The sequence below is a fragment of the Homo sapiens genome, chromosome 22, assembly GCF_000001405.40.
Source record: "Homo sapiens chromosome 22, GRCh38.p14 Primary Assembly".
NCBI lineage: Eukaryota > Metazoa > Chordata > Mammalia > Primates > Hominidae > Homo > Homo sapiens.
Genome location: NC_000022.11, coordinates 18,016,271 through 18,027,728, shown reverse-complemented (window position 1 = coordinate 18,027,728; position 11,458 = coordinate 18,016,271). Strand labels below are relative to the sequence as shown.

General features: G+C 47.4%; 1 protein-coding gene and 1 pseudogene across 1 annotated transcript in view, besides 1 other annotated feature; both read left to right on the top strand.

Moving 5' to 3' along the window:
* Positions 3,031-3,440: a silencer, noted in NCBI's record as "silent region_13446". NCBI's record gives its function as "represses an Ori minimal core promoter by ATAC-STARR-seq in GM12878 lymphoblastoid cells {active_cell/tissue: GM12878}" and the evidence as "EXISTENCE:reporter gene assay evidence [ECO:0000049][PMID:35858748]".
* The window catches only part of MICAL3 (microtubule associated monooxygenase, calponin and LIM domain containing 3), a 236,913-nt gene continuing 228,622 nt past the window's right edge, over positions 3,168-11,458 (top strand). Inside the window, exon 1 of the mRNA NM_015241.3 lies at positions 3,168-3,448. The gene's annotated coding sequence lies outside the window, so the exon portion shown is untranslated. The remainder of the gene's footprint in view (positions 3,449-11,458) is intronic.
* RHEBP3 (RHEB pseudogene 3) lies at positions 7,125-8,523 on the top strand (annotated as a pseudogene).

Below are 11,458 nucleotides of genomic sequence, written 5' to 3'. Positions count from 1 at the left end.
ACTCACTTTAATGCAATAGGTGCTAAACACTGTTTTCAGTATTCAGAAATTCACTCAATAAGAGAATTTATAAAAGATCTATTGCCACGTTGAATCCACTCCTATTAATTTTCCAACAGCCTTTAGCCCTAAATTTATTCAAGAGTAAAAAACCTTTTGGCCTGATCTGATTTTAGAAGGTACATTTTAAAATAGTCAAAAGGACTAGATTCCCTCCCATCACACTTAACTTTCTCAGTGGGGAAAAAAACAAACGCTGAAAAGGTTTAAAGAGATTCTAGAGTTGACATTGAGCCCCCAGCCCTCACCTTCTGCCCTCTTTGCTATCTTCTCTCAAGGAAGAAGAAAGCAGCATTAGGTTTCATTTCATCTTGGAGAACCATCAGCGAGATCACACAGCCTTATTGCCAACCTTTGACAGTTCTATTACTCTAGTTGCTTTTCCTGAGAGGTCTCCCCTACCCCACCCATCAAAGCCTAACCCTCTCTGACAAGTTTTTCAATTTACCCAATCATCCCATCAGCAGTAAATGCTGAGATTAAAACGTGAGGATCAGAGGGACAGGGCAGCTTTTCTATAGCAGGACTGAGGCTGAGGCCATCAGCAGGGTCAGTATCAAGTGAGCTCCAAGCTCCGGCATCCCTGGCTTAACCCAGGGCCTTGGAAAGCTCACCCCTTTCTCTTATTTTCTCTCCCTATTCTTACTTATTGAGGATTTTAAAATAGTAAAGGAGATACTGCGTTTTTCTGAGTAAATCAAAATAATCAACCAAAAAGCTACAAAGAACTAACCCTAGTTTCCCAAAGAGTTTGTGAGCTAAATAATTTAAATGCTATATACCAGGTGAGGGCACAACAGATGTGTGGAGGGCAGTGGAGTGGGACCGTGCAGGTCCTGTGGGGAACGGGGCTGGGTGAGTTGGATATCCCCATTGGAGAGGATTGGAAAGTCTTTAAAATGTTAATACCCTTGGACTCAATATTCCACTTCTGGGACTCACCTGGAAGGAAATTATTCACACATAGGAGCAAGATTTATGAAGAAAAAATTTTATTGCCATTATTTACAATCAATAAAAGTTGGAAATATTCAATAAAAGGGAAATTATGAGATATTCATATGATAAAAATATTGTATGACATTTAAATTAATGTTTTTTAAAAATCCTCAAAGGAGGAAGAATTTCCCACAAAGTTATTTTTAACAAAAAGCAGGATGCACTTGTGTGTCTGTGTGTGTGTGTGTGTGGTTTTATCTCAACTTAGTTTAAAGCTAGAAAGCTAGAAAAAAGACTGGAAAGAAATATGAATATTACTAATGGCTTTCTCTAGGTGATGAGATTATGAATGCTTTTCTTCCTTTATGTTTCTATATTTTTCAGTTTTTCTAAAATAAACGTTTTCGCCTAGTGCAGTGGCTCATGCCTGTTATCCCAGCACTTTGGGAGGCTGATGAGGGCAGATCGCTTGAGCTCAGGAGTTTGAGACCAGCCTGGGCCATGTGGCAAAACCCCATCTCCACAAAAATTAGCTGGGTATGGTGGTGCATGCCTGTAGTCCCAGCTATGCAGGAGGCTGAGGCAGGAGAATCGCTTGAACTTGGGAGGCAGAGGTTGCAGTGAGCTGAAATTGCACCACTGCCCTCCAGCCTGGGCAATAGAGCAAGATCCTGACTCAAAAAAAAAAAAAAAACTCCAGCGTCAAAAATAAAATAAAATGAGAAGTAGGAGAAATTATTAGAGATTCTGGACCTTTTAGGGCATTTTTCCCTAATATCCACTCAGGCCGTGCCCAGATGGCCTTGCACCTTCAGCTGTGGCATCAAACAAAACTGGGAATTGCAGCTTTACCACTTATCTCGCTGCATAAGCTTCCACAAGCAAGTTACTTACTGTTTGTGCTTTTAGGTTCTTAATATGTAAAACAATGTTTTACATTAAAAATTAAATGAAATAGCTCCTGAAAAGCCCAGTCACATTGTCAGAGCTCAGTAAAAATGTGTTCCCTTATTCTAGTACTGGGGCAGAACACCTGCAGGTTTGTAGGTGGGGAGACAGTGGACAGAGTGGCTGGGTGATGAAGTGGGGCTCTAGAGGATGAGCAGAGATTGCCTCTGAGCCGACACCCTGGCCCTGTCAGTTCCCGTCCTCACATGATGGACATGAAGGGAACACGAATGAAGCAGATGATGATACGGTTAAGTAAATACCACCTGGGACCAGAGAGAGCCCTTCTCAAGGAGTCGCCAGCCCAGAGTCGGCCCTCTTCTGAGCTGGCCGGCTGGAGTCAATCTGCTTTGGACAACACAGCTTCAGATGGAGATAATACTGAGGCCAATGATCCTTGAAGACAAAATAATCTCTGGGCTTCTTTCTGCTCTGATTATAATGTTGCAATTATACTGAGCAGATGCTGATAGGAATTTGGTCAAATCCATCCCGTCTTCCATCTAACTTATTTTAGTGCCTGGTGGATTTCTGTCCAGCTCCACGGGCTGTGGCAATGCCGGGGCTGGCTGGAAGTGTGGAAGGGGCTGGCTGGAAGTGTGGAAGAGGCTGCCCGGGCTCCGGCATCAAGAGGTTTTCTCCGGTGGGGAGGAGTGCGCGATCTGATCCTTGGAGCGCTTGCAACTGTAGCCCTCCCCCAGGGCTCTGCGCTGATCTCCAGGGTCATCATCATAGTAACAGTAAGAACTTCATTTTATAGCATTTTTCAATCTGTAAGACAACGTCGTGTCCTTTATACCGTTGAAATTTCAATTTCACGACTACTCAGATGTTACGCGACTTGCTCAGTATCCAACACTTGGTTCCTTCACTGGCTCCCGGAGACCTGGGTGCTGAAGCCACTGCAAGGAGGTGTGTGCTCGAACACACAGCGAACACCGACTGCGTGGTTAGCAGGATTCGCTGGGGAAGAGGCCTCAGGAGAGTGCTGGAATTTCCAACCTTCGAGGTGCTAGTAACGTGTGTCGAGGAAGGGGTTGGAGAAGGGGAGAAAATGAAAAGAAGGGGAGAAAATGAAAAGATGGGGAGGAGGAGAAATGGTTTGGGTTTGGTTTTGGCTTGAGCCTCACCCAAGCGTCCCACGCCGCAGCTCCGCGGCCTCCTGGGGGCGCCCGCTCGCGTTGCCACGGCGCTCGCGCGGAGCCGCAGCCCGCCCAGCCAGCAGCGCGCGCTCCTGCAGCCCCGGCGGAGTCCCGGCGGGGAGCGCCCGCGTAGGCAGGCACCCGGGGCAGCCCTCCGTCCTCGCCGCGCGGCCTGAGAACCCCTGGGCCCTGGGCGAGGGGGCTGGGCTGTGCAGCCCCCGAGGCTAACTGGGCGGGATCGCAGCTGCAGGGGTTGTGCGAGCAGCCACGGCGGCACCTGTGCCCTGCGGGCACCCACCCTGCCCCTGCCGAGGCAGGCGCCCACCGCCGGCGGTGATGCGGCTGTGAAGCCCTAGTCGGTGAGTACCCTCCAGTCCCCCTGTGGGCGAGCGAATCTAAATGACAAGGTTATGTGTTTTGCTGGATGTCTTCTAAGAATCATTTATTTAGATTGCTTATGGTGGGGAAGCGTTTCCTTTGTGACATCTTTGTGTTTCTCGGATCTATTTCGTTTCCCTCTAAACGCAGCCCTCTCTCCCCTAGTGGGAAAGACACCCAGTATCCGTGTCTCGATCATCGCACGACACCCACCAGTGCGGATGCCACGTACCACACACTCCCCAGAGCCTGCCAGAGAGCAGGGCTGTCTCCCAGCCACGTCCACCCCATTTTCATTGTGCTTCTATCCCGCAGGCAAAGGAAGAGCGTACCCAGGCACCCCCGAGGTAGGCCAGGTGTCAGGACAGCCAGCAGGCCCTTGGCGAAGCCGGGTCCGCTCTGGCTAGCTCAGCGCGGTGAACCCATGAGCTCATTAGGAGCAGCGGCTGCTTTGCGCGGGGAACGCCGGTTTCCCTGCGGCAGAGGGGCCCTGCACCCGCCCGCGGCGCGCGGTGGTGGCCCAGGACCAGTGGCGCACACGCTTGCGCTCCCAGGCTGCAGGGCGCGCTGCGCCGGCGCAGCTCCCGGGCGTGTGCAACAAAAGGACGGCCAAGTTCATTCCCTCCTGGAAGCAGAGGGCGGGGCCGCATGACTTCTGGAGGCTGCATGTGTCTTAGAATCAAATGGTTATGACTCCATAGCAAAATGCTTTCTGTGTGTCAAGTCCTCTCCGTGCCTGCCAACCCCTTCCCTCCTCTCTCCTCCCTAAAATGCTTTCTTATTGGTCTGGCACTGTGATCAACTATTTAGAATTTTCATTGTAAAGAAATGAAAAAAGGGTGAAACCGAGACAAGCTGTAGGCTGAAAGGCTGGGCCCTGTGGTGCTATTCATTAGCTCTCAGGCCTGGCTGCTGGGGAGATTTTTAGAAATCCTGCTACCTGGGTCCAATCCCTGGAGATTCTGACTTAATTGGTCTGGGATATGGCCCAAACACTGGGATTTTTTAAATTTTCTTTTTGTGGGGAGGAGTGGTGGTGGGAAAATTTGGAGTGCATACTGGATTTTTTTTTTTTAACTTCCCAGGTGATTCTAATGAGCTAAGATGGCCACCCACCATTCTAATCAATCAGGGTGACATTTTTCCAGGTGAACTTGGTAATAGTTCAGTCTCTCAGGCTGCCGTTGGAGGGCAGGGTATGCAACTGTCATAAATGCCTACAAGCTACAGGCAAAGAGAGCTGGCAGGGCCTTGGGCTGCTCCAAGAAGCTCAGGATGAAGGCAGTGTCTCAAACGAGGGAGGGATCATCACTCTCGGAACAGGTCCCTTCACTAAATGAAGTGTTCTGATCTATATTCCAGGGCAAGGGGAAAGCAGATGCATACCTTTGCAAGTCTGTAGCATGAAAGCTGTGGCTCCCTGTACATTTGTGGACTTCATGGCTGCCTATGTACTAACCAGAGTCACATGTGTATATCCCCCCACCACCCACTCACTACAAGGAGAATGGACACTTAGAAAGCAGAAGAGGGGGCTGGGCGCAGAGGCTCAGGCCTGTAATCCCAGCACTTTGGGAGCCCGAGGTAGGCAGATCACTTGGGGCCAGGAGTTGGAGACCAGCCTGGCCAACATAGTGAAACTCAGTCTCTACTAAAAATACAAAAATTAACCAGGTGTGGTGGTGCATGCCTGTAGTCCCAGCTACTCGGGAGGCTGAGGCATGAGAATAGCTTGAGCCAGGGAGGTGGAGGTTGCAGTGAGCCAAGATCACACCACTGCACTCCAGCCTGGGTGACAGAGTAAGACTCTGTCTCAAAAGAAAAAAAAAAGGGTGGGGGTGCAGGTCGGAATGCAGTAGTCACTCTGGAGAAGGAAGAGGCAACAAATAAGATCACCTAGAAATTATAAAGTGTTATTATCCTTCTCAGGCCTAAAATCCTTCCACATGGCGAGTCCCTCGTAAGCCTATGGGAAATCCTAGAAACTTCCTCTCCCTGAAAATTGGAGTCCCAGGGTAAAATCTTCCCCACAGGTACTGTTGCAGACTGGGGGTGGGCGGCAAAAAGTTTCCTCTAACCCTTGCCTTCTAAAGTTACCATGAATGTTCATAAACACCAAGGCAGGTGGAGGCAGACACTCCACAGCGAGTTCACAATGACTAAGGGGCTCAAGGAAATTAGATAAGGTCTTAAAACTGGGGGTCTGAAATGTTAAAATTTTACATAAACTAGAAAATGTGATCTACCCACCTGGTGCCAGAACTTCACCAGGCACAGCTTCCTAATGACCTCGCTTTCATTTGGGTTAAGTAGAGAAGGGGTTAAGATCTCCTGCGAGATAGGTATAAATGATGGTACCATATCTTCTGAAACTCTTGGGCACGGCTCAGTCATACACCTCATAAATAGGCAAGGGGATTAAGATGTTGTTTAAAGCATACACAACCCACCCAATGTGGACAACAAAGCTTAATGTGCCAGGGCCACTGAGGGAGTGGCCAGGAAGGGTCTCCCTACCATAGAATGGCCACAGTCTCCCACATGGCCTACCAGATTGCTTGTCTCTGCATGCTCCTTTCTGCATTCCCACGCACTGACTACACACTCCCTCCCTCTCCCATGCCCCACTCCCTCCAAGCAACCCAAAACAGTTAGAACAACTTCCATCCTTCCCTTTAGTCTTTGCTTTTCTAGTCTGTGCATAGCCATGCATGCATCATTTTGTTCCTTCCTGGAGTCAGCCTGACCTCTTGAGACAATGCCTTCATTTCACCTGGGCCTCCCACAGGTTTCCCTAGTACTTACCTGGCTGAGCTGGGCGATGGGCATGCTTCACTCTCTTGGCTGAGCGGGAGCTGCTCCTGACTAGTTCTGCATGAAGGATGGCTCACAGAGGCTTCTGCTACTTCCAGCCCAAATGTCCTTTCCTGACAGGTCACCTCAAGGCTGATCCATCTCACGAGACAGGGCAGGCCAGCCATGTGAGGGCTGCCAGCCCAGTAGATGGCTAATCCAGGAATACCAAAACCATATCTCATTTCTATTACCCCTCCCTGCCACGACCACCAATATCTATTCTCTGAAAAGGGCAATTTATGGCACAGGCCACTGGGGGAAAATGTCCAGTTGATCCAGCTTAACCCATGTATATCAGTTCATCTTTAGGGTGCTACCTAAACTCAGAGTGGGACTAGTGGAGACATTGTGTGGCTTTAATAAATTCCCTTTTCACACTTTTTTAAACTGTGGATTGTGACTCATCAGTGAGTCATGAAATCAACTTGGTGGGCCATTTTATTTATTTATTTATTTATTTATTTATTTATTTATTTATTTATTTATTTATTTGAGACAGGGTCTCACCCTGTCACCCAGGCTGGAGTTCAGTGATGAGATCTTGGCTCACTGCAGCCTCCGCTTCCCAGGTTCAAGTGATTCTTGTGCCTCAGCCTCCCAAGTAGCTGGGACCACAGGTGCCCACCACCATACCCGGCTAATTTTTGTATTTTTAATAGAGATGGGGTTACCATGTTGGCCAGGCTGGTGTCGAACTCCTGCCTCAAGTGATCTGCCTGCCTCAGCCTCCCAAAGTGCTGGGATTACAGGTGTGAGCCACTGCACCCAGCCTATTTTTTTTTTTTTTTTTTTACTTTTTAAAGGTTTACAGCCATTTTATTTGAAAGTATACATTTAGCACCATGAAATAAACACTGATATATTGAAGCCTGGTTAATAGTAGTGTAACAATATATTTTGATGATTACATTATTTTAAACAACAAACTACACTGAAAAATTAATGCCGATAAAACTCTTGGTCATAATATTAAGAAATACCATATATAAATTGAAAATATGATTGCTTAAAATTTGAAAATGGAAGTGCACTCGTTTGGACAGTCAGAATTTAACATAATCTGAAGGGAGAGGATCTCTGACCCAAAATATATCTTTCAGGTTAAGAGAAGGAAAAAGAAGTGTAGTTTATCTTAAAGGATGATGGGAGTTTGTTTCTTCAGGTGGAAGATATTCCCAGTGTCCTCAGGTTTTGCAGTAGAATCATATCACTGAGCACGAAGATTTTCATTGGGAAGCTGCCCTGTCAATTTTATCTGCCTCTAAAATTGTCCTCTTAAAAACATCAGCAGCTGGCCGGGCGCGGTGGCTCACACCTGTAATCCCAGCACTTTGGGAGGCCTAGACGGGCAGATCACGAGGTCAGGAGATCGAGACCATCCTGGCTGACACAGTGAAACCCCGTCTTTACTAAAAATACAAAAAAATTAGCTGGGCGAGGTGGCGGGCACCTGTAGTCCCACCTACTCGGGAGGCTGAGGCAGGAGAATGGCGTGAACCCCGGGGGGCGGAGCCTGCAGTGAGCCGAGATCGCGCCACTGCACTCCAGCCTGGGCGACAGCAAGACTCCATCTCAAAAAAAAAAAAAAAAAAAAAAAAATCAGCAGCATTCTCATTTTCTCTAGTAGAAAATTCCAAAAAAGCCGCATTCCAAGATTCTGCCAAAGCTTCCCTGATCACCCTTTTTTTCTTTTTCTTTTTTTTTAATTTTTGAGACAGAGTCTTGCTCTGTCATCCAGGCTGGAGTGCAATGGCGCGATCTCAGCTCACTGCAACCTCCGCCTCCCAGGCTCAGGCAATTCTCCTGCCTCAACCTCCTGAGTAGCTGGGATTACAGGCGTGTGCCACCATGCCCAGCTAATTTTTGTATTTTTAGTAGAGACAGGGTTTCGCCACGTTGGCCAGGCTGGTCTCGACCTCCTGACCTCAGGTGATCTGCCTGCCTTGGCCTCCCAAAGTGCCGGGATTACCGGCGTGAGACACTGCGCTCGATCTGATCACCCTTTTCATATGCAGGTCTTTCTTATTTCCAACCGACATAATAGATATTTCCACTTTCCCCACCATATCCAATGATTTGCCATGGATAACTGTAATCACTTCAGAACTTTTCATTGATGTGGCAGAATACACAATAATACAACCATTAATGTCTATGGAGTTTGTCTGGGGAATAATGGAATATTGATCTTGGGTGGGTCCTTTTTTTTTTGAGACAGGGTCTCCCTCTGTCACCCAAGCTGGAGTGCAGTAGTGTTGTGATCTCAGCTCACTGCAGCCTTGAACTCCCAACTCAAGCGATGCTCCCACCTCATCCTCCTGAGTAGCTGGAACTACAGGCATGCATCACCATGCCTAGCTAATTTTTGTATTTTTTTGTACAGACAGGGTTTCGCCATGTTCTCCAGGCTGGCCTCCAACTCCTGGGCTCAAGTGATCCACCCTCCTCGGCCTCCCAAAGTACTGGTATTATAGGCGTGAGCCACTGTGCCTGGCCAGGTGGGCCATTTTAAAAAGAAAGAATAGAAAATACCAGAGTGTATACGTGTAGTGAAGGGAAGATTTGTGTCCTGAGATTTGTGTTTCAGTTTTGTATACTGTGTGTGTGTGTGTATGTGTGTATGTGTGTGTGTGTGTAGATAGATAGATAGATAGATAGATAGATATTTTTTATTTTTATTTTTTTCTTGAGACAGAGTCTTTGTCACCCAGGCTGGAGTGCAGTGGTACAATCTTGACTCACTACAACCTCCGCCTCCCAGGTTCAAGTGATTCTCCTGCCTCAGCCTCCCAAGTAGCTGGGACCACAGGTGCCCACCACCATACCCTGCTAATTTTTGTATTTTTAGTAGACATGGGGTTACCATGTTGGCCAGGCTGGTCTCAAACTCCTGACCTCGGGTGATCCACCTGCCTTGGCCTCCCAAAGTGCTGGGATTACAGGTGTGAGCCACCATGTCCAGCCTGTATATGTATATTTTTGTTGTGTACACTGAATCGTGATGCAAAATATATTTCTTATTATGAATCATGGTCAAGAAACTTTTAAAGTCGTTACCTTGAGCAAATACCGACAGAAATTGGAGTTGAATCAAAATGAAATATTAAAAGGTCAAATTCTTCAAGAGCTAGCAAAAAAATAGAATTCAATATATTTTAGATCTATGGATAATTTTCAAGTTAAAAGAATCCATGGGGGAAAACTGTGTTCATTTAAATTTAAAATTTCTATCGGCTGGGCGCAGTGGCTCACGCTTGTAATCCCAGCAATTTGGGAGGCCGAGGCAGGCGGATCACGAGGTCAGGAGTTCAAGACCAGCCTGGCCAACATGGTGAAACCCCTTCTCTATTAAAAATACGGCCGGGCGCGGTGGCATGCCTGTAATCCCAGCACTGTGGGAGGCCGAGGCAGGTGGATCACGAGGTCAGGAGATCGAGACCATCCTGGCTAACATGGTGAAACCTCATCTCTACTAAAAATACAAAAAATGAGCCGGGCGTGGTGGCGGGCACCTGTAGTACCAGCTACTCGGGAGGCCGAGGCAGGAGAATGGCGTGAACCTGGGAGGCGGAGCTTGCAGTGAGCGGAGATCGAGCCACTGCACTCCAGCCTGGGTGACAGAGCAAGACTCCATCTCAAAAAAAAAAAAAAAATTAGCCGGGTGTGGTGGCGGGTACCTGTAATCCCAGCTACTCGGGAGGCAGAGGCAGGAGAATCACTTGAACCCGGGAGGCAGAGGTTGCAGTGAGCTGAGATCACACCACTGTACTCCAGCCCAGGTGACAGAGTGACACTCTGTCTCAAGAAAAAAAAATTCTATCAAATGAAAAAGGAACAGAGTGGGGGAAATATTTGCATTATATATTACAAATTAAAAGTTAACCTCTGTTAGGCCAGGCACGGTGGCTCATGCCTGTAATCCCAGCACTTTGGGAGGCGGAGGTGGGTGGATCACAAGGTCATGAGTTCAAGACCAGCCTGGCCAACATTGTGAAACCGCATCTCCACTAAAAAAATAAAAAAAATTAGCCAGGCATGGTATCAGGCACCTGTAATCCCAGCTACTCAGGAGGCTGAGGCAGGAGAATCACTTGAACCTGGGAAGTAGAGGTTGCAGTGAGCCGAGATTGCGCCATTGCACGCCAGCCTAGGCAAGAAGAGCGAGACTCCGTCTCAAAAAAAAAAAAAAAGTTAACCTCTGTTAAACCAATAATTCATTTCAAAAAAGGAGAATGGGCATGGGATTGTGGACAAGGGAGAGGCAGAGACTCAAGGACTGACTTGGGCCTTTGGAAGGCCAGGTTCTATACGGCTTTTTTCCTGAGTGTGGTGGTGCAAGAAAGTTAGTGGTAAATTAGTTACAATTTCTGTTCCCCCCACTACATACTGCTCTTTTGATGTTGAACCAAACCTTTAATAAAGCATTTTGAATACTGCAGAAAGAAAAGAAACTTTTTTTTTTTTTTGAGACAGAGTCTGGCTCTGTCACCCAGGCCGGAGTGCAGTGAAGCAATCTTGGTTCACTGCGAGCTCCGCCTCCCGGGTTCACGCCATTCTCCTGCCTCAGCCTCCCGAGTAGCTGGGTCTACAGGCGCCCACCACCACCCCCGGCTAAGTTTTTGTATTTTTAGTAGAGACGGGGTTTCACTGTGTTAGCCAGGATGGTCTTGATCTCCTGACCTCGTGATCCGCCTGCCTCGGCCTCTCAAAGTGCTGGGATTACAGGCGTGAGCCACCGCACCCGGCCTAGAAACATTTTAAAGAGTTTTAAAACATTACAATTCTGTGCATAACTGTCTACTATATGATTCCAATTATATAACACTCTGGAAAAGTTGAAACTACAGGGAAAGAAAATAGAAGAGTGATTGCCAAGGGCTGTTTGGAGGGAGAATGTGACTACAAAGGCACAGAGGGAGACTTTTCAGGATCATAGAACCATTCAGTGACCTGTCTATAGTTGTTAAAAGTCATAGAACTGCACACGAAAAAGAATAACTTTTTGATATGTGAATTATACCTGAATAAACCTGACTGGAGGACAAAAAACAACTCTCCAGGGATAAATTCACAGTTCATAAAAAGAAATTCATCTACATGAGGCAATGCAATGAACAAAACATTGATATGTGTTC